The 27,764-nt window shown below is 58.8% G+C and overlaps 1 protein-coding gene, 1 long non-coding RNA gene and 1 other non-coding gene across 4 annotated transcripts in view, besides 3 other annotated features; 2 read left to right on the top strand and 1 right to left on the bottom strand.

The window, feature by feature from the left end:
• MIR4456 (microRNA 4456) lies at window positions 560-602 on the top strand. Its single transcript, NR_039661.1, has one exon. It is a non-coding gene; the product is annotated as a microRNA 4456 (primary transcript).
• Window positions 2,193-2,712: an enhancer, noted in NCBI's record as "H3K4me1 hESC enhancer chr5:533845-534364 (GRCh37/hg19 assembly coordinates)". NCBI's record gives its function as "activates a minimal SCP1, AML or CMV promoter by ChIP-STARR-seq in primed H9 embryonic stem cells {active_cell/tissue: H9 hESC(primed)}" and the evidence as "EXISTENCE:reporter gene assay evidence [ECO:0000049][PMID:30033119]".
• On the bottom strand, window positions 8,987-11,784 carry LOC107986395 (uncharacterized). Its single transcript, XR_001742543.1, has 2 exons — window positions 11,479-11,784; window positions 8,987-10,030 (listed from the first exon to the last, which is right to left on the bottom strand). It is a non-coding gene; the product is annotated as an uncharacterized LOC107986395 (long non-coding RNA).
• Window positions 9,794-10,426: an enhancer, noted in NCBI's record as "H3K4me1 hESC enhancer chr5:526131-526763 (GRCh37/hg19 assembly coordinates)". NCBI's record gives its function as "activates a minimal SCP1, AML or CMV promoter by ChIP-STARR-seq in naive H9 embryonic stem cells {active_cell/tissue: H9 hESC(naive)}" and the evidence as "EXISTENCE:reporter gene assay evidence [ECO:0000049][PMID:30033119]".
• The window catches only part of SLC9A3 (solute carrier family 9 member A3), a 53,994-nt gene continuing 38,222 nt past the window's right edge, over window positions 11,993-27,764 (top strand). For both annotated transcript variants that reach the window (NM_001284351.3, NM_004174.4), the window contains exon 1: window positions 11,993-12,330. In NM_001284351.3, the coding sequence (NP_001271280.1) occupies window positions 12,120-12,330 (211 nt within the window). In that variant the 5' untranslated portion in view covers window positions 11,993-12,119. The remainder of the gene's footprint in view (window positions 12,331-27,764) is intronic.
• Window positions 20,760-21,260: an enhancer, noted in NCBI's record as "H3K4me1 hESC enhancer chr5:515297-515797 (GRCh37/hg19 assembly coordinates)". NCBI's record gives its function as "activates a minimal SCP1, AML or CMV promoter by ChIP-STARR-seq in naive H9 embryonic stem cells {active_cell/tissue: H9 hESC(naive)}" and the evidence as "EXISTENCE:reporter gene assay evidence [ECO:0000049][PMID:30033119]".

Here is a 27,764-nt window from a genome sequence, read left to right as displayed (position 1 = left end):
CCAGACTCACAGAATCACTAACGCACAACGCTCAGGGAGAAAGGCAGAGTCACAGAATCACTAACACACAACACTCAGGGAGAAAGGCCCGGCTAGGAAGTGGCGAGCCAGCAGGTGGTCGGCTTGTTAGGGCTGTGACAGAGTCCACTTTGTCTCTGCCGAGGGCTTACTCTGCTGCAGGGAGCTGGGGGCCCTGTGCACACATCCAAGGAAAACACCCTTGTTGTCACAGCCGAAACAACAGACGCATGAGAGATTGATTTTTGAAAATATTATTCCCGAAATCTAAACATCCAGGGGGCATTTCCTGGCAAGCAAAGGCTGTTTGGGCCTCTGCATCTGCGGCTCTGGCGTCTGCCTGGGGCTTGGCTGAAGCCCTGTCAAGGAAGCACTTCTGAACCACGAGGAAAAATGTCCTGATTTGCATATTGTCTTCCACCCAAAGCTGTCGCCTGCGTCCCTGGCTCGCCCTGCCCAGGTGGGCTGCGGGTGGGGAGTGGCCACCCAACGGTGACTCAGAGCACTCCAGCATCCTGACTCTTGCTCCGTATTACATCCCATGAACCTGGTGGCTTCCTTTTCTGGGAGGAAGTTAGGGTTCACGTCCATCACAAGACAAGTCTCCCTCACAGCCCGATTGACCCCAGGACAGCCTGTGCCTGGGGGAGCACGTTGGGGGGCTATGGGCCCCATCCTACAAGGTCTCTGTGGGGTGGGCGGGGGGTAGCACATGAAGGGGCTGCGGGCTCGGTCCTGCAAGGTCTTGGTGGGGTGGGCGGGGTGGGGCCCCAGCGATGGCATCCGGGACGGTGCAGTCTGGGAGGGGCAGCGGGACCTCGGAAGGGGGCCTTGGCCGCAGGTGCCCCCGGAGCACATTTCAGGCCCCACAGTCCACACCTCTCACACAAGCCCCCCAAGCACGGCGAGCGGGCAGCACGGGGCTCTGTGTGCACACGGCAGACTGAGCACTGCTGGGCGCTGCCAGGGTCACGTTGCCCACAGGGGAGCACAGACACCCACGGGACCGAGCGCCGGCTGCAGGGCGCGTGCCAGCGGCCCGCAATGATGTCCGACTGCAAAGGGACAGGAGGCCTCAGGCTCACTGGCCTCTGGGTTCCCCACAACGACCCCCAACGGGGAGGCCTCTAGGTTCTCAACTGGGAGGAGGGGTCCTGCCCCTGGGGAGGCGGGGGCAAGGGTGAGGTGAGGGTCCCAGAAGGCAGGGGCCGGGGGCAGGAGGCGGCTGAAACCAGCGCTCTGCTGGGGTCCAGCCTGGTGGTCCCAGCTGTCCACACGGCCTTGCTGGTGGCTGGTTCAGGGCCCTCCCACAGGGAGATGTGGCTTGAAGACAAGGGCCCCGCCCCACTGCACATCTCCCAAGCCATCCTCAGGGCCCAGCTTACTACCATCTGTGGCCTCCGCACACCTAAAATCCAACACACACCCCAAGAAGACAGGGGCCCTGCCAGGGCTGGAGCCAGGGACAGCTGGGGGCCGGAAGTGAGCATGTGGGGTCCTGCTAGGTCCCAGGGGGATGCGGAGGGGGCTGCACCACCCACAGCACTGCTGAGGAATGCCATTCCCTCAGCTCCGCGTCCACCCCGGGTCCCCCTTCCTATGGGGGTGCTGACCTGAGTCCTCACTTCCGCTCTGGGTTTTCTCGCAGGAGTCTGGACAAGCAGCTGGACTCGGGCAGGTTGGGTCAACTCAGGATGTCCTCGTGCGTGAGCTACAGGGTCACAGGCCAGGGTCAGAGGCCAGGCCTGAAGGGGACACCTGGCCCCGCTCGGACAGGGAGGAGAGCACTGGTCCCCAGCAGTGTCCCAGCAGCCAGCCTCCCTCCAGGTGCCGTCTCAGGCCTGCCCTGTCTGCGCCCAAGTGCCTCTGCAGGGCCCCAGGGCTGGGAGGTCACAGAGCAGTGGCCAGGACAGGCTGGATGGGGCCGTGGTCCACCGGGCTGGGAGACGAATCCTGGATGGGGCCGTGGTGCACCGGGCTGGGAGACAAATCCTGCCCGGGCTCTGGCAAGTCACCCCCTACCCTGTGCTGAGCCAGCCCCGCCTGCAGGAGGTTGAGGTTTGTGCTGGGGTCGGCACAGGTGGGGTGAGTTCCCAAGCGGCTCCGTGAACAACTGCTCTTCCCGATTGCTGGCACTCGCGGAAGGGTTAGGTCAGAGACAGGGAAGGCCGCGGCTCAGCGTCAGGTGCAGACACTCCGTGAAGTCGGGAGTGATGAGGTGACGACGGCCCTGCACCTCCCTGTGGACCTGCCGGTGGGGTCCAGGGACTGTGAAGGAAGAGACTTCGGGACAGGAGGGAGCCGGGGGGGACCCCGAGTGCCAGGCCCTTGACTCTGAGCTCAGGGACACGGAGTCCTGCCCCAGCAGCTGTTCTGTGCCGACTGGGTCTGGCATGAGCGGTGTCCAGATCTGAAAGGCTAATGTGTGCAAATGAGCGCTGCGCTCTGCCTAGGAATTCCGCTTCCCCACCGGCTGCAGGCGTTCCTCTCTGTGGGAACTTTCCACTCTCAGCAGCAGTGCACCTGGGCATCCAGCACTGTCTCCAGGTTTAGGCAATGCCTCTTCCTTCTAGGCGGACAGAGCCAGGAGGGGGCTTGGGCCTGGCGACCCTGAGGAGGTCAGAACCCCCTGGCCACAAGATCACCAACCCCAGGGCCCTGGGTCCACTGTTTGTGCGTTGGTGAAGGGGTGACCACAGGGGTCTTGGTGCTGAGACTCGGGTCAGAGATTCTGCCTGTGAACGACCTTGGCCCCCGCCCAGCAGTGTGAACAGAACCCTGAGCGAGGCCACGCAGCCTCCCCAGGCAGGGAGAGCTCCACACAGGCCGAGACGGCTGTGACAAACCAGCCCTTCCCCCACCCGATGGCTCTGGGCCTCCAGGGTGACCGGGGCCAATTCTGGCTGCTCCGAGCCCTGCCAGTCTAGGCGGCTCCACGTTCAAAGCAAAACAGGTGGAGGTTCCACAGACGTGAGAGGAGCTGAGTGCCCCGCACATCCGGAGGCAGCAACCGGCCCTCCTCCTGCCGCCACAGGTGCCCACCTCTCAGGCTCTTTGAGGCTGCGTCAGGAGGGGGCCAGGCTGTGATCCAACCCAGCTGAAGGCATGGGCCTGCCCCTGCAGTGGGTCCCCAGCACCACTGGGCTCTGCTTCACCCCTGGGCTCAGCGTGGCCCCCAATTCCCCAAATGTCTGGAGGGACAGCAAGCCCAGCCTTTGCTCACACTCAAGAATGTGGCTATAACGGCAAATGCATGAGAACATGAATGACCAGTTTTCAGAGCACACCAGTAGGAGTTCTGAACTTATTCCCATGAACAAAGCTGCTGTTCTTTGGAGAAATCTCTTGGATTCTTTTGAGAAGAAATGCTGTCGGCAGTGAGTGCGCCAACAGAGCTGTGTTCGCCCCCACGGATGGGGGCAAATTCGCCAACCCCCGAGCCCTTTGCTCAGCCCATGAATGGGGGCCTCCGGGAGCACGATGCACTTTGAGCTGTGCCAGGAGGGGCCCTGGCTCTGAACTCGAGAGCCTCCCTAAGTCCCCGAGCGTCAGCTCAGACAAAGCCCAGCACGGCAGCCCGTTGTCACGGCTTTCAGGCCGTGTTTGCTCTGAGCCTGGCCTGATACCACTGAACTCCAGGCAAGGCGGGGCTCCCGGCCAGCTGAGATGGCGGCTGTTTTCAGGCCGAAGGGGACCTGGCCCCCAGTCCGGCAGCCTGAGCCATTCCACAGCTCCAGAGGCTTCTCGTCAGACTGCCCTGTGAGCTGAGTGTCCTCTCCATCCAGGAGGTCTGAGGTGCAAGGGCTGGGCGGTCACCGCCTGACACAGGTCACTCAGGTCACTCTGACAGTTTCAGGGACGCACTGAGGTACATGGCATGGGAAAGGCCCTGGTCCAGCTCAGAGCCACTCACAGCGTGTGCCAAAGCCACGTGGGGAAACTGAGGCCCTGGTCCAGCTCAGAGCTGCTCACAACATGTGCCCCAATCACATAGGGGAAACTGAGGCCCTGGTCGAGCTCAGAGCTGCTCACAACATGTGCCCCAACCACATAGGGGAAACTGAGGCCCTGGTCCAGCTCAGAGCTGCTCACAACATGTGCCCCAATCACATAGGGGAAACTGAGGCCCTGGTCCAGCTCAGAGCTGCTCACAACATGTGCCCCAACCACATAGGGGAAACTGAGGCCCTGGTCAAGCTCAGAGCTGCTCACAACATGTGCCCCAACCACATAGGGGAAACTGAGACCCTGGTCCAGCTCAGAGCCTTTCACAGCGTGCATCACCACAGCCGAATGGGGAAAGTGAGGCCCGTCGATGTCCAGGAGACCTTGCCCAAGCCTGGTGAGGACCTGGGCCTAGCCAGCTCCAGAGTTTTCTTCTTCTCCCCACGGCAGGCATCTGACCAGAAATACCAGGGATCTCCCGGCCTGTCTGAGTCAAAGCCGAAGCTGCAGGATGGGGCAGAGTGGAGAGCTGAGCGCTCCTGGGGAGGGACAGATCTGGGATCCAGCGTGAGCTAAGATTGACTGAACAGCTGCCTGAGAGAGCAATTCCGTCCATCTCCAGCTGTTTCTATGGAGGCAGAGTGGAAGGGCTGTGGGGCAGGCACAGAGGTGACCCCAGCCAGAGCCACCCCCACTGGCAGGTGGGAATGCCCGCCGGTGAATAGCGGCAAGTGTGATGGTGCCTGCCCACTGCACACCTGGTGCACACACGTGTCAACCACCTAGAGCGTGCCCAGCCCTGTAGCCAAGGGACTCACCACCCTTGCTCTGCGGGGGGTGCTCCAAGGCACAGTAAGACTGGTCCATGCCAAGTGAGGGCAGTGCCGGCTCGGCCAGCCACCTGCTCCAGGTCTCAGCTCCCGCAGCTCCACCTGACTTCCCGGTGTTTCTAGGGGTCTGAGGCCCCACACCAGCACCAGCCTCCAGCTAGTGGCGAGGGCTGTCGCTGTGTCTCCAGGCAGTGAACGAGCCTCTGGAGGGTCCCTGGAGGGGAGGAGAGGGAGGACAAGAGCGCATCTCGTGGAGGAGGGGCAAACACACCCTGGGGGTAGATGCAAGGCTGAGCCAGGCAGGCCAGGCAGTGTCTGCTGGGGACACACGCCGGAGCCCCTGGGGGGCCAGGGCCTCAAAGGAAGCCGGAGGAGGAGACCTGGATGATTACTCAAGTGTGAGAGACTCAAGGACACCCGCTGCAGCCAAATTCTGTGTGAACAATGATTTGGAACGCGGCCGCGCAGAGGTGAGCCGGCCTGGGTGGTGGAATGTGGCATCCAGTCCGGCCGCATCTCTCCTTCCTGGCGACTCCACGCTCACAAATTGCCTGCGCATCTCCTCTGACATTCGTCCCCCTCGAGGGTCTGCTTCCCGTGTGCTGCCTGCATTCAGAGGGTACGTCTGTGCCTCATGCAGAAACTAACACCGCTCAAGCAAACATTTGCTGAAGGGACGCAAATTATAAAGACGCCATGGGGAAATGAACCGAGTCCAGGAGGCAGAAGAAAACACATCCAAGGACCCAGAGCAGAGTGAGCTCGTTTTCCTCTGAGCAGGTCTGAAGCCGTGACGGGGCGCACAGGCCGCATCCCTGAGCATGGCGGGCACGGGGGCGATGAGAGGGAGAAACCTTGCTGCCCACACAGGTGGAGAGGCTCAGCTGCAGCGTGAGGATCCTGGGGGGCTGCCGTCAGCCGTCTGCATGTTATTAACTAAGAAAAGGTCTTGGAAGATAAAGATTTTCAGACCCAACTGGAACAAACCAGCACACCTAGAGCTCTGCGTCCCTGCATCCTACGAGTCCCGTTGAGTCTGAGCAGAGCACAGAACACAGAACTGCGTCAATGACTGAGGCAGATTCACCCACACAGACCAGGTTCCTCCTACAAAGCGCCTTTTGCCAAACATAAGAGGACTGAGGTCCAGGTTCCTCCCGCAAAGCGCCTTTCGCCAAACATAAGAGGACTGAGGTCCAGGTTCCTCCCGCAAAGCGCCTTTCGCCAAACATAAGAGGACTGAGGTCACACAGCCTGTGTTCTCTGGGCTGAGTGGAATTACAGTAGATTCAGTAAGAGAAAGATAAGAGGAGAATCTCCAAATGTTTAGAAATTAAGCAATTGTGGATTAAGCAACACACTTCTAAATAACCCATATGTCAAAGGAGCCACAGTAGAAATCAGAAAATGTCTTGAGCTGAATGAGGAACACACAGCATATAAAAGCGTCCAGGATACAATGTCTTGAGCTGAATGAGGAACACACAGCATATGAAAAAGCCTCCAGGATATGCAAAACTAGCCACCAAAGGGAAATCCACAGCTTATTGAAAAAGTTCCACATTTAAAAAGGGGAAATGCTGAAACCAATGACCTATGCTTTCAGCTCAAGAAACTAGAAAAAGGACATCAAAATAAAGGCAAAGCAGAAGGAAGGAAATCATAGTAAAATGTATGAAAGAGAAGACAGATATAAATCAGAGAAAATCAACAAGACCAAAATCTGGTTCTGTGAGAAGATGAATAAAGTTGATAAACCTCCCAGCAATGTTGATCATTAAAAAAGAGAAAACAAAAATCATCGCCAGGAGGTACAAAAGGGAGACATCACTGCAGAGTCTTATGGACACAGGGGAGATTACAATCACATTATGTGCTTTACATCAATAAACATGAATTTTTGATGCAATGAACACATTTCTTGAAAAGTACAATTTATCAGAATTAAGACAAAAAGTCAAAAAATATGATTTATCAAAATGGACACAAAAAGAAAAGTCCAAACAGCCTAATATTTATTAATTAAATCCATCATTTAAAACCTTTCCACAAAGAAAGCTCCATGTCCATTTGGTTTCACTGTTGAATTATCCTATAAATTTCCGCCACACCCCTTGCTAGATTTTTTTTTCCTAGGTATTTCATATTTTTGATGCTGCATGAATAGTACTGTTAAATTAGCTTTCATTTTCTAAAAAGTGTGTTGTTCGTGCATAGAAACCCAGTTCACGGTGGCTTGTTGGCTTTGTAGCCAGCAGCCTTGCTGAGCTAACTCTTGCCGGTTCTGAGAGTGTGCGAGGAAGACCTCTGTGCTGCCTACAGGCGGGAGCTGTCTTGCATCCTGAAGATGGGGCTGAGGGTGGGGGCCGGTGGCCGAGGTTCCTGCCTCAGAGGAGCCTTCCTGAGTGCCAGCACCTGCTCCAAAGATGAGGCTGAGGGTGGGGGCAGGTGGCAAACGTTCCTGCTTCAGAGGAGGCTTCCTGAGTGCCAGCACCTGCTCCTGCCGGCCTTACAGATGCTACCTATCAGCTTAAAGGAATCTGCTTCTATTCTACGTTTCCCAAGGGTTTCCCCTCCCGAAATGCGGGGGCCACAGGCGAGCGCCACCACTCGGCTACTGTTTTTTATTATGTTTTTTAGAGACAGGGTCTCACTATGTGGCCCAGGCTGGTCTCGAGCTCCCAGCCTCAAGTGATCCTTCTGCCTGGGCCTCCCAGAGCGCTGGGCTGGTCTCTGCACACGGTTGGATTCGGTTTTAGTGCTTCCAGTTGTGTTGGGCAACGGGGTGGGCGGGTTTGCCCGGGGCGGCGCGGTCCCTCCGGGTCTGTTGGTGCCCGGATCCCGGAGCCCCGGGCGGGGGGAGGCCACTGGCTTCGCGCGTGACCGCCAGGTCCGCAGCGCCTTTCGTGGCCGGAGACGGGGCGAGGCGACCGGAGGTCTCGGCCCAGGGGCGCGGGGGAGCGGGGCGCGGGGCGGGGCGGCGGCCGGGAGAGGGGCGTCCACGGGGGAGGTCGCCTGTCCGCGGACCGCTAAGACACCGCAGCAGAGGCGTCCGGGGCGGGCGGGGCGGGCGGGGCGGGAGGGACAGGAGCGAGAGGGTTCGTGCGCTCAGCGGGACGGAAGCGGTTGCGGATGCACATGCGGATGCGGAGAGAGGCCCATGGCGAGTTCGGCGGCGTGGCCGGCCGGGCTGTCCCCGAGGGCGGAAGGGAGGACGCGCGACCCCGACGGGCACTGACGGGCCGGCCGGGGACGGTGCTGGGAGGGCCTGCCGGGCCTTGCCAGGTCCCCCGCGCCATTGCCCTGGGGTGGACTGCGGGGCACAGAGACTCTCCTGCGGCGCCGTCCCCAGCCCTTCGCCCCTCCCGGCGCAGCCCCCGGCCCCTGAGCTCCCCACCCAACCCCGGGGCCCCTGAGCTCCCCACCCAACCCCGGGGCCCCTGAACTCCCCACCCAACCCACGGGGGGAGCTGCCGCTTCAGACACAGGCCCTGAGCTACCCCCGCAGGGGTGTCACAGTGGGGGGGTCTGACTCCAACCCGGGCTGGTGCCCTCAGGGAGCCAGGAAAGGTGAGTCTCCGCGGGTGAGGAGACCCCAGGCCCAACACGGACAGGACGGACCAGAGCGCGGGCCTCAAGTCCTGCAGGCCCTCCAGCTCCAGGCTGGTCAAGAGTCTGTCCATCTCTGAAGAAGAGGAAAGGTCCCACCTGAGGCCTCAGAGGCCACCCGGGAAGGGAAGGGCTGAGCTCTAATCTGCTTTTGAGAAAGACATTTGTATCCCCCGGATCCAACAACCAATAAGAGTGGCATTGACGGGAGGTGGCATGACGGGGGGGCGCGGTGGTCTCTTTCCTGGAAGGGCATCTCCCAGAGGGGCCTCTTGCCTGAAGCTGAGATGTGCCTGGCACACAGCAGGTGTGGACCAAGGGAAGGCCAGCAGGTGTGGCTCCCAGTGGAATAAAACCTTCCTTAAGAAGACCTGGCCCCTGACAACTTTGGGTTGAAAAATAAACTTAGAGTGGGCAGTGATGCCTGTCTCCTGCCTGGCTTCAAGCATTGGAAGTTACTTAAAAACTTAACTTTCTTCTCTTAAATATTGTTAACAACAGTATGAATGGATGCGCCTCTTCATCCACAAGACACTTTCACAAGCCGTATGTGGAATTCATGACAGGAAATTAATGTGACAGACTAGGTGTTTTCAGTTTTATTTTCTTAATCCTGAAGTTCAGATGCTGTGGCAGCTGGGTATAAGATTACAGTTGTTTTCCGACTGGCTTTTGCATTATTTCCACATTTTTGAATGTTTTACAGCCACGCCCCTTCCCCATACGTGCAGGGGGTCCCTGGACCACAAGGGGTCCAGGCCACGGTGGAAGGATCCAGAATGCTATGCGTGCCTGCCTGAGGCAGGAAGTGGTCGGGCAGTTATCAGATCGTCACCACCCACAGGACAGGAATGTTCTCAGGATACTTCCCAAGACCCCCTCACACACACACACAAGTCTCTGGGTCTTTTTGGCCATGAGGATGTGCAGGTTGTGCACTGTACAATTCCAAGGGGCACGGTTCATACAGTCTGCCTGATATGGATGGTGGCCCCTGCAGTGGTGGGGTGCCACGGCCCTGCCTAAAACCACGACCCAGTTAGAGGGAGGGTTTTGTGGCTCCAGTCCGAGGGTAGGGGAGTGGGTGTGCACACCCTGTATAATCCCCTAGACTGGCTTCTGCATGAGGCTGGCATCCTCAAGGCCATGCCCATCACAGGCTGGGGCAGCGCCCGTCTGCCCCGAGCCCTCCAGCAACCTTGGAGTGCAGACGCATTTCATCCTCCAAATGCTCACAGATTGAGATGCTGCCAAACAGCCACACTTCTCACCTGTGCAGGGACTCGTGGGCAGTGGGGTGTGCCCTGGCAGGACTCGTGGGCAGTGGGGTGTGCCTTGTTCTGGCCACGCCACTTCAGGGGCTCATTGCCTTTCTATTCTCCATGAGGCAGCCCTTCCTGCTGTGGGGGGCAGTGGAGGTGTGGGCAGCACACTACCTGATGGCCAGCGCCTGGCACTGGTGTCTGTTCTGGATTTGTCCTTCCAGGCAGTGACACTGCTCTTCTGCCCTTTGAACAGCTTTGTGGAGAAAGGTTGTCGGCTCTTAGGACAGGCTGGTTGGGGGGTGGGGTGGCCGGAGGTCCAGTGGGCATCATGGAACACACTGGTCTGGTGGAAATTTGGCCTTCCTGTGGAATGCAAGGGCAACATCTTCAGAGAGGACGTCGTTCCTAACGGCTCCACCCAGGAACCATAAGGAAAGAGCAGGGAAGCTCCGGACTGGAGGGAATCCTGTTCTTGTCCTGCTGGCTTTTTCTCTGGGACAAGAGGCTGGGAGTGGAGTGGGGGACAGAGACAGGTGGGGCAGGGACACAGGCCAAGAGCGACTCCGATGCTCCCACCTCGCAAGACCATACTAGTGGCCAGTCACACACTTCCACTCCCCCGGTGCCCTGTCCAGACCCTGCAGTGGCCCAGGCCAGGGCTGCCCTCCCTCCACGCCACTCAGCAGCCGAGTCACCAGGCGAGCACCATCTGAATGCACCTTCCCTGTGCTACACGGGCCACTTCCATTAGCATGAAACTGGGGCCCTTGCAGGGTGAAGTCATTGAACTCAGCACTGTCCTCCTCAGGCCTCCGCAGCCCCCACTCAGATGTCAGAAGACACATCCATCCTCCATCTGCACCCACCCCACCGCCCACCTGCCCTTTGTCCACCTATCTGTCCTTCCATCCATCTATCATCCATCCGCTCAGCCACTATCTTGCGAGTGCTATTGTGTGCCCAGCTATCTTCCAAGCTCCTGGGATGTATGCATGAGCCCCTTGCTCGTGGAGCAGACATTCCCAGGGTGAGGGCAGACAGCTCAAGGTCAAAGCCAGCAGCCCCCAGGGCTGGGAGGTGAGCTGATTCCCGGAGCCAACCGAGTAAGCAGGGGAGGCGGGAGCTTAGCTGCCACAGTTGTGAGCTGAGTGGGTATCGGGTGGGACCAGAAGGTGGCATTGGAGCCAAGCCCCTGGGGAGCTGAGGAAGGGAGCACACAAGAGCCGTCCAAACAGAGGGAGCAGGGCGTGCAAAGGCCCCGAGAGGCGCCGATTGCTGGTGTGGGCCGTGGAGTGCATGGGGGTGGGGGTCAGGCAGTGGCTGGGGTCTGAGCTCCCGGGAGACGTTGAGCCTTTCCTCTGAGAGGGAGGGTCCCAATAGGAGGGACTGAAGGGGCAGGTAGAGGGCCGAGCAGGAGCCTTTGCAGGTGGCTGCAGGCTCCCAGAAGCCGCTGGTTTTGTGCACATTTTGAAAGTAGAGCAGATATGCTAAGAGCTTGGAAACCTTGTGAGCGAAAGAAGTCCACCTGCGTCCCAGGTCTGGGGCTGGAAGGCTGCAGGGTGGGCTTGGAGGAAAACAGGGGTGTGGTTTGCACAGTGGAGCCTGAGATGCTTAAGAGAGCCAGTGCTGCCGGAGCGGGCTGTGGGCAGAGGCCCCGCATCCGTGTGAAGCCCTGGGGGTATCGAATTGTTTTGGGCGGAGGTCTAAAGGCAGGGGATGGGGCAGGGGAGACCACGGGGGCCCCTGGGCTCCCATCTCAGAGCCTGGGGTGGGGGATGCTGGCTGGCGATGGGAGGGGCAGAGAGACTTACCAGCGCACCACGCAAGGCCTGGGCGCCCCCGAGTTCTGGTAAGTGGCCGGTCCGGCTGTGGAATGCAGGTTCCTGCTGAAGACAATAGCGAGGGGCTGTGTGAAGACACACCTGGGGCCCCTGTGCACCCTTGGGCCGCCCTGTGGGGTCTGCGCAGCCCCAGGCCCTGCGTTTATGAAGGAGGGTTGGGGCGAGCGCACCCACAGCTGCCCGGGCATCCCAGGAGCTGCGCGGAACCGCCTGTCCCGCTGCCCCGCGCTGTGCTCCCCACGCCCCAGGAAGGCGGCCGCGCAGTCCCGGGCTCGCTCTTGCCGCGACCTCCCGGACCTCCAGGCCGCGGGCTCCGGGGGAGGGTGGGCACCAGGGAGCGCGGGGTGGGCGTGCGCGGGCGGGGCGGGCGTGCCGGGAGCTGCGGCGGTGTCTGCGCTCGCGAGTGCGCGGCGGGGGCGGGCAGGCTCCGCCCCGGGGCGGGAGGGGGCCGCGGGATTAAAGGCCACCCCGGCGGGCGGGGATCGGACTGTAGCCGGTACCGGCACCGGAGCGCGCCGGGTCCTCGCCGGGTCCCAGCCCCGCGCGTCGGCCCAGCCCAGCCGGGACCCCCCGCGACATGCGCGTCCCAGCCCTGCGCTGAGCAGGCGGCAATGTGGGGACTCGGGGCCCGGGGCCCCGACCGGGGGCTGCTGCTGGCGCTGGCGCTGGGCGGGCTGGCGCGGGCCGGGGGCGTCGAGGTGGAGCCCGGCGGCGCGCACGGCGAGAGCGGGGGCTTCCAGGTGGTCACCTTCGAGTGGGCCCACGTGCAGGATCCCTACGTCATCGCGCTCTGGATCCTCGTGGCCAGCTTGGCCAAGATCGGTAAGTGGCCCCGGGGTCTCCGGATCTGCCCGCGGGGTGTGCGGCCGCCTCTGCTGGGCCTGGGGGCTTCGTTGTGGCCGCGCGCATCAGGTCGGAGCCGCGCGGCGGCCGCCCGGGAGAGTCCGGCTCTCGGGTCCAGCAGAGCGAGACTCGGGAGCGACTCTGGCCGCGCTAAGCCGCCCCTGCGGGTCCCGAGGTCTCCCCTCCCCGGCGGGGGCACAGCCTCGGAGCCCCGGACTCCCGGCTCCCGGGTCCCTGTGGGGTCTCCGCCCCGCCTCCGCTCCGAGCCCCGCAGACTGCAGGCTGCTCGCGCCCAGGGAGTCCCCGGGGCCGGGTTTCCTTCGGGGTTCTCAGGCTTTTTAGAGAAACGTCCTTGGAGTGATGGCGTTTTTTCGTGAGTTACAAGGGCAGAAAAGAAAAGCGGTGCTACCCGCATGAAACCCAGCAGAATCCTCCCTACAGGCGCAGCGTTCCCATTGGCGGGCCTCCTTTTTTTTTTTTTTTTTTAGAAAATCCCGGTCGGTCAGATTTCTCTTCTTCTTAACCGGCGCCAATGAACCAGTAATGTGGGCACGGCAGGTAGCTCCTGGCAAGGTGACAGGAAGGTCAGCTTCCTGAGGAGCTCGTGGGGATCAAAGTTTCATGTGTTGGTCCACAGGGTAGGGTCTCTCCAGGGGTGGCAGGGAGGTGGTCACTCGTGTGGAGGGGGGATTAGGGGGCCCGAGTGGGGCCAGGAGAAGCAAGATCAGAGCAGCAGGCGCCGCGGCAGGTTTCCAGAGCAGCTTTGGACTGGGGCGAGAGGAGGTTTCGATGCTGGGGCCGAGGAGGGGCGCCCACGCAGGACAGGGGAGGGACAGGCTCCGGGGAGAACAGCTGAGAGGACCTTGGCCTTGGTGGAACCTGGTACGCCCAGCAGGCTTGATTGGAGAAGGCGCCTTTTCCTTCAGTGACGCCTGCCGCCTGCCCTATTTATGCCAGGGTCTCCCCTCCCCTTCAGGCCCCTTGTGTGTTTGCTTTCTGTCTCATAAGGGCTCTTCTGAGCCCTCCCGCCTCCTCCCTTCTCCGCAGCCTCCTCCTCGCCCTGGTGTCTTTCAGCTCCCCGCCGGGCTGCCTGCTCTCCAGGCTCAGGCTGTCCTCCCTGGGCTTTCCACTGGGGGCTTGGGATGCTGGCCGGGGGGGAGTCTCTGAGGCTGGCTGCCTCCTACAGTTGATTTCCTTGAGAAGGGCCCCTGGGGCATCAGGGAGGTCCAGACTCAACCTGGGCTCTGCGGCCGCCCAGTCCTAAAGCTCACCCTGCTTTCCTCTGACGGGAGTGCCCCCCTGGTGTAAACTGAAAAGGTAATTTCTTTTTTTTTCTTTTTTTTTTTTTTTTGAGATAGAATTTTGCTCTTGTTGCCCAGGCTGGAGTGCAATGACGCGATCTCGGCTCACTGCAACCTCCACATCCTGCCTCAGCCTCCCGAGTAGCTGGGATTACAGGCATGAGCCACCACGCCCAGCTAATTTGTATTTTTAGTACAGACAGGGTTTCTCCATGTTGGTCAGGCTGGTCTTGAACTCCAGACCTCAGGTGATCCACCCGCCTCGGCCTCCCAAAGTGCTGGGATGACAGGCGTGAGCCACCGCGCCCGGCCGTGAATATCTAATTTCTGTACAAGCTGGGGCCTCTCCCAGTTTAGCCCAGTGTACAGAGTCAGAATCTGGCATCTGAAGGTCCAATGACAGCCGCCAGGCACCAGCCAGCCCCGCCTGGGAGCCGGCAGATAAGGCACACTGACCAGGGCTTTGCCTGGCCTCAGAGTTTGTTATTCACAGGGAAAAGCCTTCAGGTCTCCCAAACACTTGGACTGGTTCTGGGAAGACGTCCTTGAGGGCGGGGAGGCTGCCGGCTCCAGCAGCAACTCCCCGGGGCAGGGCGGTCCTTTACAAAGGCCCACCCTGATAGCACTCAGCGGCTGTCTTTGTCTCGGATTGTTGGCTCCACCTGGGAAGGCGAGCCTTACCCTGTGCAGCTGTGGGAGCTCATCGCGGTATCCCACAGGCGCAGACCCTCTCCAGACCTGCCCTTTACGCTCCCTGTCGTCCCCTCAACCCACTGTGCACTCTGCAGCCCCGGCAGTGACAGCTGAGGTCTGCTCTGGGTCTGCCCGGATTGGCCCCCAGGGTGTCCCACCCTCCATCCCCTCTCTGCCAGCCACACCTCTTGAACACAGCCCCCAGCCCTCCCTGTGTGCTTCCTCCCCCAACCCCTTCCCTGTGAACTCTGGACTTCTCAGATTCCACTGGCCCAGACCGTCCTCCTTGTGCAGCCAGCCTCAGGTGCACGACCTGTGTTCCCAGAGGACCCTCAGGTCCAGGCCTTCACAGACACCGGGGCCCAAGCCTGCACCACAGCGGGAACTTCTCCAGTTTCACCCAGCCTCCTCCACATGCCCACAGCCCCCGGACTGGGGTCTGAACCTACTAAGCTGCTTGGCACATTTTGTTGTTTAAAATGGTCAGGGGTTGGCCACACTCTTTCAGTCTCAAGTTACACGAACAGAAATGTCTCTTCCAGCAGAAAAGAGCTGCCATTCCTGTTGCTTTTCCAAACATTTGTTGAATTTCTCACACATCCTGAGAGTTTCTAACTCACAGCCCCAGCCTTCTTCAAGCCATTTGTAACCTGGTTGGGGAAATAAGAGTCCGGGTACCCTGAAACCCACAGCAATGTTGATCCCAGGAGATTTCTACTCCAGGCAGCTTGGGACAGAGGATGGCCAGAGGGCCAGAGCTGCCTCAAGCAAACACTGGGGCTGGGGCCTCAGCAGGTGGCCCAGGAGCCTGGGCAAGGAACAGGTGCTGCTGTTGGCCCACCAGCCTCAGGCCGCGTGTCTGGCTCCGGCAAGGGCTCCCCACAAGCCCCCTATTTGTGTGCACTGGGGTTCCCCTGCCTTTTACAGCATCTTTTTAAAATGCAGAAGGGGAGGCAAGGGCCGAGGCCACGGAGCCACTCCACAGCGCAGACCTCCCAGACTGAGAGGACGAGGAAGTCTTTAGCAGTGGAGGCGGCAGGGCCTAGTGTCTGCCTCAGGCAGGGTGAGGGGGCTTCCTCCTGTGCCCCTTGGGGGCCCCCAGCCTGCAGCCACCCGCACCAGGGCCACTCTAGGCCTTAGGTGCCCACCAGAATCCCCGCCTCACCCTGCACCGTCCGTGTTGGGAACCCTGGGCCAGGCTTTCCTTCCTTCCTGGGCTTCCTCTGGGGGCTGAGGCTGTGCCTTGCAGAGACTGCCAGGCCTGGCAGCACTGGGTGGGGGCCCTGGGGTGGGATCCAGGCAGTGGCAGGTGTCAGGACTGCAAGCAATGGGCCCCTGGAAGGAGAGGGAGGCGGGGGTGTCAGAAGCCAGAGGAGGAGGCCTAGGGTGGGTCCCTGGGGAGGCAGAGGGAGGCCCGAGCAACTCAGCTACAGGCCTTGGAGGACTTTGGTCCCCACCTAGCGTCGTGGTGAGGAGTGGATGTGGTCAGATCTGAGTTCTCAGACGACTGCCTGGCCATGGGGCAGAGAATGGCACCGGGGAGATTCCGGGAGGATGGTGGGGAGCTTCCCTTGGGCATCAGGGCGGTGGACAGCAGGGCCTCCTTGAAGCAGGAGTGGGGATGTCACAGGGTCATCAGTGACACAGCAGGGGCCAGACCTCCTGGCCCCATCCTGTTCTCAACCCTTCGGGGGGCTCTGCTGCGCTGACCTCGCCCTGCAGCTCTGAGCCACACATGAGCGACAGGACCCGACCAAAAGGGAACTGGGGGAGTTACAATTTTGAGATGTCGGAAACCGGGGAGGGGCTGGGGCCGGGAGTGGATTCTAGGCCCAGCTGGGTCTATTTGTCCCCAGGCGTCTGGCCGTGGGTACCCCTTGGGTCGTGGACGCACAGGAGGTGTGGGAGCTGACATCCCATGGGGCCTGAACTCCAGAGCTGGGCAGCGCTGGCTCAGGGAGGTGGCGCCTTGAGGGTTAGGACCTGAGCAGCGGCAGTGACTGCCCACGGGGAAACCAGGACAGTGGGGCTGGGTGGGGGCGGTGGGGGCAGGCTCTCGAAGTGGAGCTTGTGTTGCTGAGGGATGTGATGGCGGAGGCCCAGGCCGCCCCACATCTTGGTGAACCCTGGCTGGAAGGGCAGGCAGGAGCGAGACGGGTATCTGGAGTCTGCAGTGCCTCGCGCAGCCGTAGGAGGGTCAGGAGGACGCTAGGGCACAGGGTCAGGAGTGCAGCCCCCTGCTCTGAGCGGCGCAGCCCCCCCACCCCCCTCTGAGCGGCGTTACCCCCACTGTGGGAGTGTGGGAATGCTTTTCTGCAGGAGCTTCAGCCTTGGGGTTCCAGCACCTCCTCCTTAACTGGACAGGGTCAAGACCCAGATCCCTGAGCGCCAGGTTCCCTGCTCCCGGCCCCAAATCTGAGGCACTGGGTGCTTCCTTGTTGTCTGGGTGGGTGCAGGAGGTCGTCCTCACCCGACACTTGACTCCCGGACCCCCGCTGTCTTACCCAGCGTGTCCCAGGGAGCCTCCGCCACTGGGGGTGTGACACTGCCTAGACCACCTGCCTAAGCTGTGGATTTCTCCCAGGTGCAGCCTTCCACCGGGCACTCAGTGCCCAGGCTGTGAGGGCAGCTGTGGGTCACCTTCACCTCCTGGGGTGAATGGTTTTATTGCATGTGCTCTGGTCCTGGAGGCAGGAATCCCTCAATGCGCACAGCACCTACCCCTTCACCATATCTGCTACCCACTCCAGCTGAACTGCCCTTAGGTTCTCCTTGAAGAAGCATAGGAAAGGAGGTTCTGGGGACAAGGATGGCCTAGAAGGCCAGGGTGGTCAGCAAAGTCCCCAGGGGACCCAGTCCTCCCAGGAGAGGACCAGTGAGTGGGCCCTGTGGACCCCAGTCCTGGCAGGAGAGGTATGCTCAGTGGGTTTGGAGTCAGGAGCCATCACGGGAGGCCTGGAAGCAAAGACTCTCCCAGGAGTCTCCACAGGGGAGGGTCTGGCCCTGAAGGGGTGAAGTTTCATTTTCCAGGAGCTGCCCACGGAGAATCAGCTGTAGGCTATAAAACAATCCATGGCGTTTGGAGCTAAGGTGTCGCCCGGGAGAATCCTGAGGAAAGGGGCAAAGGTTGGGAAGTGCTGATAGCATCGGGGCAGGGAAGGAACCACCAGGGCTCCCTGTGGGTACCTGGCAGCTCCGCCAGAGGCTGAGAGAGAGACAGGGATGGTGAGTCACTCTTGGCCGCCAGCCCCCCCAGCCCACTCCCTGCCACCCCAGGAGCTCCCCGCCTCTGGGCGTGTGTGGCGCTCCCTGTGACCACACAGGCTTGTTAAGATGCCTGTCTGGGCCCAAGCTCCAGCACCCAACCAGCCTCATGTCTACTGCAGAAATGGCTGAGCTCTCCCAGCGTGGCCACCCCCACTGCCGGCTTCTCCAGGAGCCAGGGGCTGCACTGGGGCATGTTTAGAGTTGGGGTTCCCATCCTGCACATCATCTGCCCAGCGTCTGGGCTGAGTCCCACAACCAGGAGTCTCAGTGCACGATGAAGCCACCAAGGCTTTCCTCACCCACCCTTGAGACAAGAGTCTCAGGATACCAGGTGTCAGGGTGCCAGGTGTTGGCGTGCCAGGTTTCTGGGTACCAGGTGTTGGGGTACCAGGTCTCAGGGTGCCAGGTCTCAGGATGCCAGATCTCCAAGTGCCAGGCCTCAGGGTGCCCGGTCGCGAAGTGCCATATCTCAGGGTGCTAGATCTCAGGGTATCAGGTCTCAGGGTGCCAGGTCTCAGGGTACCAGGTCCTGGGATGCCAGACTCCACCCTCCCCCAAATCATGCACTCACCCCAGCTTCATCCCTTCACACTCAGCATCTCTCCTGCTCCACCTTTCCTGAGCTCGGAGCCTTCCTCCTCTGAGCTCCTGAGGACACCTCCTCCTCCAAGGTCTTTTGGCTCAACCAGGTTGATGCCACAATGGCAGAGGTTGTCTGTCTTATTCCTCCTGTGTCCCCAGTGCCTGTCCCCAGCAGAGTCCTGCAGATCTGAGCACGTGAATGGACATGTGGATGGATGGATGGATGAGTGAATAGATAGATGGATGGATGCGTGGATTGATGAATGGATGAATGGATGAGTAAATGGATGGAAGGGTGGATGAGCGAATGGATGAATGGAGTGAATGGATGGATGGATGGATGATGGGTGGATGGATGGATAAGTGGATGGATGGATGGATGAGTGAATGGTCAGATGGGTGGATGAGTGGATGGATGGATGGATGGATGGATGGTTTGGATGGATGGATGGTTTCGGTGAATGGACGAGTGGATGGATGGGTGGATGGATGGATGGATGGGTGAATGGATGGATGGGTGGATGGCTGGATGGCTTGGGTGAATGGATGGATGGGTGGATGGATGGATGGATGGATAGATGGATGAATGAATGGATATATGAATGAGTGAATGGATAGATGGATGAGTGGATTGATAGATGGGTGAGTGAGTGGATGGATGGATAGGTGGATGGGTGAATGGATGGATGGGTGAATGGATGGATGAGTGGATTGATGGATGGATGAGTGAATGGATAGCTGGATGGATGAGTGGACTGATGGATGGATGAGTGGATGGATAGATGGCTTGGATGAATGGATGAGTGAATAGTTGGATGGGTGGATTGATGGATGGATGGATGAATGAATGGATATATGGATAAGTGAATGGATGGATGGATGAGTGGATTGATGGATGGGTGGGTGAGTGAACTCATGGATGGATGAGTGAATGAATGGATATATGGATGAGTGGATAGGTGGATGAGTGAATGGATGGATGAATGAGTGAGTGAGTGAATGGACAGATGGATGGATGGCTGATGCGTGAATGGTTGGTGGATGGATGAGTGGATTGATGGATGGATGAGTGAGTGGATGGGTGAATGGATGAGTAAATGGAGGGATGGGCGGAAGGATGGGTAGATATGTGGATGGATGGATGGATGGATGAGTGGATGGATGGATGCACCCACAGGTGGGTGAAGGAGGAATGAACGAATGAGTGGATGGACAAATGGATGGATGAATGCACACATGGGAGAGTGAAGGAGTGGAGGGATAAACATTGGCTTCCCATGTGTAAGCTTCATCCAAAACCATCTGGACACTGGGCCCAGGAAGAGGCTGTCTCAGCTCCTCGGCTGAATTATTTCCTTAAATTACTGCAGAGCCTCCAGTGAGCAGCACACCTACTTCTGGATGACAATGGCTTTAGAGGCGCCGCCTGCCAAGGAGTGGCAGACTTAACCTGCAAAGTGGGATCATTGACAAGCAATTGCAGCATCGGCTCAGAGCACTTTGGCAGATCTGGGCTCAGCATGGTGAGCACCATCTGCCCCACACAGAGCTCTCTCAGGAGTGGGTCATGTGCCCAGAGAGAAACCACGCTCACCTGGCCTAAAACATGCTCCACTGTCAGCTGAAATCTTAGCTATGCCTTAGCTATATGCCTTCTGGAATAAGACAGACAAACCCAGCCCCATCCTGATGTTGCCAGACCTCGGAAGATGCAGACACACCCTGGGCAGGCCCTGACTTGGTGCTGGAACTGCCCAACCTGGCACCCTCCTGGGACACAGAATAGAACTCGGGTCACAGGCAGCCAATACCCTTAGCATACCAACCACTTTTAGGAGCTTGAATGGTCTCATCCGTCTTATCGAGGTAGCCCAAAATGCTGGACTTTGCAGCAGCCAGCGCTCTGGGCAATGGAGGAGCTCTCTCCAGTTTAATATTCATTCAATAAACATTCAGTGCCCATCACGCCCTGTAGGCAGTGGGGATCCCACTTCAAATGAGACCCAAATATCCCATGGGGCAGCACTCCTGGGCACCAAGGACCAAAGACAGTCAGGAAGCCATCCCTGGGGCAGAGGGGGCAGCCAGCCCTGTGGGTTAGGGGGAAGCATGTCCAGGGAAGGGATAGCCAGAGCGAAGTGCCCGAGGCAAAAAGTGTGGATGAGGGTTAGGGGGAGAGTGTGTGTGTGTGTGAGGGGCAGGGGGAGTGTGTGTGTGTGAGGGGGCAGGGGGAGTGTGTGTGTGTGAGGGGCAGGGGGAGTGTGTGTGTGTGAGGGGCAGGGGGAGTGTGTGTGTGTGTGTGAGGGGCAGGGGGAGTGTGTGTGTGTGAGGGGCAGGGGGAGAGTGTGTGTGTGTGAGGGGCAGGGGGAGAGTGTGTGTGTGTGAGGGGCAGGGGGAGTGTGTGTGTGTGAGGGGCAGGGGGAGTGTGTGTGTGTGTGAGGGGCAGGGGGAGTGTGTGTGTGTGAGGGGCAGGGGGAGTGTGTGTGTGTGTGAGGGGCAGGGGGAGTGTGTGGGTGTGTGAGTGGCAGGGGTTGTGCATGGGTTTGTGAGTGGCAGGCGGTAATGTGTGGGTGTTTCAGGAGCAGCGGGATGTGTGTGTGTGTCTGAGGAGCAGGGGACCCTGTGGAGGATAAGCAGGAGCAGCAGGTGGTCCTTGCACTCTGGCCGTGTGATGACCATGTTCAGCTCTGGGTTGCTCCCTCACATTGGCGAGTGCCCTTACAAGCCTGAGCTCTGGGCTCCCTGTTCTATCCGACTGCCAGCCTTCCCTTGGGGCTGGCTGTGTGTCAAGTCCATTTCCAAAGTGTCGTGTCGTCAGTCTAGGAAGAATTGAGATGGAGCCTGGGGCCGTGTCCAGGTGGAGTCAGGAGAGCAGCCAGGGTGCCCAAGGGGTTCCCGTGTGTGCACCGTCCACAGGGGCCTGAAAGGAAGGAGGGAGGGGCGGGCAGAGCAGGAGGGGCTGTGGGAATTCCACAAATGGGGAGCGGCACATCCTGGGAATGGGCCTGGCCGTTTGTGCTGCTGTGCTGGGGGTGGTTAGGGCTGTGACAGAGACTCCAGGCTGATGGCATGGACTCTGGGGTGGGAGACCGAGAAATCTCCCCATGGACTCTGGGGTGAGGAGTGGGGGGCCGAGAAATCTCCCCATGTCTCCCCATGGAAGGCTCTGCCTTAGGGAAAGACCAGGTGACCTGTGCCAAGCTCCTGGTCCCTGGAGGGCGGCCTTTGAGTGCATCCCCGAGGGCTTTGTGCTGGACCATCCCAGCCGGGACCCCCTATCTGGCTCTGGGAGCCAGCCCTGGGGAGGGACAGAGCCAGGGTCCCCTTCTGGACTGTGCAGGGCTAGGGCAGAGGGAAGGAGCGGGAGCCAGGGACGCACTGGCAGCTTCCTCCTTTCTGGTGGATCGGGGAACCTGCAGGCTCACCGCCTGCTGAGCTGTCATGCCAAAGTCCAAGGGTTTGAGTTCTTTGTTGGGAAAGGGTTTCTTTAAGCCTGAATGGGAAAGTTGAAAATGCCTGTTTTTAAGAGCTTTGGGGGTGACACAAAGTGTGGAAGAACAGCAGCTACTGCGGGCTCCGTCCTCAGATTCAGCCCCAGATGTTTGGTGCAGAGGACACGGGGCTGACCAGACGGTGAAGGCAGATTCCCCTTAGAACCCGGCCCTCATGGGGCCCTCAGCGGGCCGTACCACTCCTTCCCCACCTACTGGATGTGGGAGCCACTGGGCAGGACTGCCTGAGGGGCCACAGTGAGCAAAGCCCCCGACAGGCAAGACCCGATGGGCCTCGGGGGGCAGGGTGGGCCCCAGGAAGGGGGAGCCAGCGGCCACTGGTCTTGGGTGACTCTGCAGAGGTGAGGAGGGAGGGCACAGGCCGGAGGCTGGGCCTCAGAGCCCCCTGAGGGACAGAGCCCCTGGAGGGACAGCCCTGGCGGCACAGAGCCTGGGAGACCTCAGGTCAGGGAGGAAGAGGGAGTGTGTGAAGCGTCTTGGAACCGGGACTGCCTGAGCACGCCTCCCCGAGGGCTCGCCCATGTGAGCGCCACTTCCAGGTTTCTGTCTTTAATCCTGGTTTTCTCAAGATCTGAAGGTTCATTTTAGGATTAGTTAGAGCCAACTGTGATTAGGGAAGTAATCTCTTCCCAGAAAGCAGGGTGCCCTCCCGAGCCGGGGCTGGGGCCTTGCCAGGCACCATTGTCTCTGCTTCTCTGGATTTTGCCCACCGCCCACACCCAGCACACAGTGGGGGAATCTCTTCAGGCGGAACTGGCTCGGGTTGGCTGAGTGCTGCTCCCAGGAGAAGCTCCAGTGGCTGTGCGTGGCCCGCCTGCCTTCAGAGGGAGAGGAGCCCTGGGGCGCAGCCCTGTCGCCAGAGGTGCTGACAAATGGGAGAGCTGCGTTCGACCTAAATCCGCAACACAAGGGCTGGCCGTGGGAAGTTAAAGCTTCCTGAGAAGGAGCTGTCAGGAACTACTTCCTCATTCTTACTGTGTACCATCACAGGGGGAGAAGGCGAGGGTGGCCCGGGGCTGCTGTCTGCCCACCAGAGCTGTCCCTGGGCCCCTGAGGAGCACGTGTGTCCCATGGAGGTGGCATGTGTGTGCTGTGAAGTCAGACGTGGCCGTCTCAGCATCCACTGTGTCTCAGGGACCCCGTGGCCAGGACCCACCCAACTGTCCATGGGGCTGACGCGTTCTCTGCCCTGCACACCCCAGTGGCACAGACCCTGGGTATCACTCGTGCACCTGGCGCTCTCCTCCCGCCCAACTCTGCATCCGCAGAGGGGCCACGTGCTTTTAGGGGGCACTTGAGCTCTGTTAGAGCAGGGGGTGGGGGCTCCCATGTGTGAAGGCCCATCTAGCACCTGCGTCCCGGCACAGCGGCTGTGCCATTTGCCAGCCTTCCTCCCGGCCTTTCTCCTTCCCAAAAAGCATCAACAAAATGAAGCTCCCAGATACTGCCCATGGTAAATGTTGCCAATCCAAAACTCCAAAGGGGATGCCACATCCCGGCTGTAACCAGTGCCACTATCATGTTCCAAAAGCACCCCTGGCTTTGTGGTCTGCTGGAGTCTGCAGCAGCTGGCATCTCAGTGGTCCCAGCCCACACCACGCAGCTCACAGTAGGTGCACGCCCCCCTCCCTCACCCTCCTGGTGCCCAGGTTCCTAAGTCTCAGTATCGCTGCAGGAGGCAATTCTCCAGCCCCAGTTTCTGCTGTCTCGGGTTTTGCTGCAGTGGAAACCTCTGTAACCGCCTTTCCCCCTCTTATCTTCCAGTGAAAAGTGGGACTGGTATTTGCTCTGATCTTGGTGACGCCGGACAGTAGTGTCAGCACCGTGGAGTCAGAATTGATAGGTGGGTCAGGATGAGACTGGCTGCTGGGCCTCTGCACGCCCAGCCCTTCCTCCAGGGGTGCCGCAGCCTGGGCTCCGCCAGGACTCAGCCTGCCCACCGTGCACGTTCTCTGCCTGGAATGCTGTCCTGGTCCCCTCAGCCTGGCCTTCTCCAGCTCACCCCAAAAGGAGTGCCCCCCCAACAGCTTCGGGGACACCCTTTCTTAGAAAACGAATAGACTTAAATTTCTTAGTAAAGTTGTAGATTTACAGAATATTGAGCTGATAGTATCAAGTTCCCTCCAGCCACACCCCAGCCGTTCCACCCCCCACTCCCCCTATTAACAGGTGGCATTGGTGTGATACATTTGTCATAGTTTAGCCACTCTTGATACATTATTATTAATTAAGGTCCACAGTTTATATTAGGGCTCATTCTTGATACATTATTATTAATTAAGGTCCACAGTTTATATTAGGGCTCATTCTTGATACATTATTATTAATTAAGGTCCACGGTTTACGTTAGGGCTCGTTCTTGATACATTATTATTAATTAAGGTCCACAGTTTATATTAGGGCTCATTCTTGATACATTATTAATTAAGGTCCACGGTTTACGTTAGGGCTCGTTCTTGGTACATTATTATTAATTAAGGTCCACAGTTTACATTAGGTCTCATTCTTGGTGTTACACTTCTGTGAGTTTGGACATGGGTACAACGACATGGATCCAGCATTACAGTCTCATCCAGAGGAGCTTCACTGCCCTAAAAATCTTCTGTGCTCTGCCTGTTCATCCCTCTCTCCCCCTAACCCGTGGCAACCACTGATCTTTCTACTGTCTCCATAGTTGTGCCTTTTCCAGAATGTCGTGTAGTTAGAAACCTATAGCGTGCAGCCTTCTCAAAGCGGCTTCTTTCACTTAGTCATTGCATCTGTGTTTCCTCCGTGTCTATTCATGGCTTGACAGCTCATTTCTTTTTAGCACTGAATGATATTCCACTGTCTGGATCTATCCATCTACTGAAGGACATCTCAGCTGCTTCCAGGTGATTTTGGTGATTATGAATAAAGCTGCTATAAACCTCCATGTGCAGGCTTTTGTGTAGACGGAGGATTTCAACTCCTGCGGGCCTGACCGTTGAGTTTTCTGGTCATGGCCTGCTTAGGTTTGTAGGAAACTGCCACGCTGTCTTCCAAGTGGCCGCGCCACCCTGTGCCTCCAGCAGTGCTGGGTGCACACTCCTGTGGCCACATCCTCGCCAGCCTTCGGTGCTATCCGTGTCCTGGGTTTCGGCCACGCTGACGGGTACGTGGTGGTGTCTCCGTGTGTTTTAATTTGCAGCTCCGCCATGACATGGGCTGTCGTGCATATTTCAGGGGCTTACTTGCCATCTGCCTGTCTTTGGTGTGGGGTCTGCCCAGATGTTTGGCTCATTTCTCACTGGGTTGTTTATTTTTCCTATGAGTTTTTAGAGTCCTTTGTATGTTTGAATGATAAACTCTTTAGGAGATATGTGTTTTGCAAATGTCTTCTTTTGCAGAGAAAAAGTTTTTAATTTTAATAAAGTCCAACTTACCAATTTTTTCTTTTATAGCTCATGCTTTTGGTGTTGATCTAAAAATTCATCACCAAACCCAAGGTTATGTAGCTTTTCTTCCATGCTATCTTCTAGAAATTTTATAGTTCTGTCTTTTACATTTAGGTCTTTTGTCCACTTAAATGCCGGCCTTGCCATCCGAGAACAGTGAGACACTCTTGCCCCTGCCCAGCAAGGCCAGTGGGACCAAAGTGCTCTCCTTGCGGCTCACAGTTTTGCTGGTGTGTGTTCGATATTTTGGGATCTCACATGTGGATGGGCAGGTATCTGAGCCCTTATTATGAGGCTGGAGGGAGTCGTGATGGGAGGTTACAAGAATGCAGGGTGGGACCTGCAGAGACAGGAAGAAGGGCTGTGGCCAGGGGAGACACAGGAAGACCTGGTGGGGCAGCAGGTGTCCAGGCACAGCTATGAGACAGTGGGAGCCACAGGAGGTCTTGGAGCACAGCAGTGCCTAGAGAAAGCTGCGTGTGCTGCTGGTGCATCTTCCCGCCCACCCCTGCACCCAGCAGCCCTGGCCTTTCCCACAGCTCCTCCACCTCCATTTCCCTCGCCTTCCCCCCGCAGGATTCCCCAGGCAGCTGACCCCATCGACTCACAGGAGATGGCATCCACGGCCGCCTGCCTGGGCCTTTCCGGGCTGAGTCTGTTCCAGCCTGTGGGTAGCGGGCCCTCAGCAAATGCCTGAAAATGCACTGGGCATGTTTGCCTGCCAGGCAGAGAGCTCATGCATCCATGGGCCTCATCTTTTCCTCTGTTAGCTTTGTCAGATGAAAAATCAAGTAGTTCTAGGGTTCACTCGAGAAAACAGCAGCCCCTGCCCACCTTGTCCCCTGGGCCCCGCTCCCCAGTGGTCACCACAGTAAAGCCCAGTGAGGTCTCCACCCCTGGGCTCAGAGAGAGCCTGACTGTGCTGGCCCCTGTCTCCAGGCCGGGACCAAGCGTGCTGCCGGCGGCTCTCGAGGGTGTGTCCCACGGGTTCTGGCCTTTCCACCAGTGCTTCCGTCCCACACGAACACCTTAGAGCTCCGTGGCAGCGTACGGCCACGTTTCCTTTCCCACACAGCATCTGGCTTTGCCTGGAGGGAACGATGGTCTCTGTCGCTGCTCTTGGCAGCCTCTCTGAGCTCACAGTAAGTGGCTCTGCTCCCAGCTCCCAACAAGCTGCCGCGCTCCGCCAGGGGCCCAAGCACCCACGGATCCTCCTGCTTCCAATGCCCCCAGGCCTCCAGCGGCTCCCCGGTCCAGCCCAGCACCTGTCTCCCCAACACATTCTCCTCCACATCGTTGGAGCCCCTCTTCTCCCGAAGCCTCCCCCATCCTTGCTCAGGCCCTGGGAAGCCAGCTGAGTGTGGGGCAGTGGAGCGCTGACTGCAGGAGGGACAACGCCGGCTGCCCGCAGGGCCCCTCTGAGATGCCTTTGCCTTGCTTGATTCGCGCCGCGGGAACTGGTTTCCCTTCCAAATCATCAGGCCCTGTGCCAGCTTCTTCTGGCATCCATGCGAGACACGGAGGCCTTCCTCATTCCTGGTTCTTTGCAGGAGGCCTCCTCCCCCTCCCCGCACCCCATTCTCCTCTCACTCCCTGACATGCTTTGGGGTACAGCTAACTTCACCTGCTGTGCCAGGTCCCTGGCAGTTCACTGAGTCTGGAACCGCAAGCTTGGTTTTGGGAATGGCTGTGGTGATGCCTGTCCGCGGTTCTCCATCTTCTGCCCACGCCTGAGTTCCAGGGTTCCACGTTCGGCCCACATGGGACCAGCCTACTCTGCCCTCAAACCCTTCCTTCCTCCCTCCCTCCCTCCCTTCCTTCCTTCTTTCCCTCCCTCCCTCCCTCCTTCCCTCCCTCCCTCCTTCCTTCCTTCCATCTCACTCTCTCGCCCAGGCTGCAGTGCAGTGGCATGAGCTCAGCTCACTGCAGCCTCCACCTCTTGGCTTCAAGCGATTCTTATGCCTCAGCCTTCTGAGTAGCTGGGATTACAGGCATGCGCCACGGTACCCAGCTAATTTTTGTAATTTACTTTAGTAGAGACAGAGTTTCACCATGCTGCCCAGGCTGGTCTTTAACTCCTGGCCTCAAGTGATCCGCTCCACCATTAGCCTCCCAAAGTGGTGGGATCACAGGTGTGGCCACTGTGCCTGGCCCTACATTTTCTTTATGTGTCTTTTTTTCTCTATCTTCTGAGATAATTTTTTTTTTTTTTGAGACAGGATCTGGCTCTATCACCCAGGCTGGAATGCAGTGGTGCGATCTCAGCTCACAGCAGCCTCCACCTCCCAGGCTCAAGTGATCCTACTGCCTCAGCCTCCCAAGTAGCTGGGACCACAGGCAAAGCACCACCATGCCTGGCTAGTTTTTGTATTTTGTAGAGACGGGGTCTCACTATGATGCCCAGGCTGGTCTGGAACTCCTGGGCTCAAGCGATTCTCCTGCGTTAGCCTCCCAAAGTGCTGGGATCACAGGTGTGAGCCACCACCTGTGGCCTGAGAGAAATTCTTAACCTCCTCTTTCAATCCTCTGTTGAGTTTTAAACTTTAGTTCTCATGTGTGACTCCCGGGAGGTCTTCCTCTCTAATGTCCTTGTCCTTTACGGCGTGGGGGCGATGGTGATGCTGAGGCCTGCGTCTCCCTGC

This window comes from Homo sapiens, chromosome 5, assembly GCF_000001405.40.
Source record: "Homo sapiens chromosome 5, GRCh38.p14 Primary Assembly".
Lineage (NCBI taxonomy): Eukaryota > Metazoa > Chordata > Mammalia > Primates > Hominidae > Homo > Homo sapiens.
The sequence above is the reverse complement of the archived record's forward strand: the minus strand, read 5'-3'. Positions and strand labels throughout refer to the sequence as shown.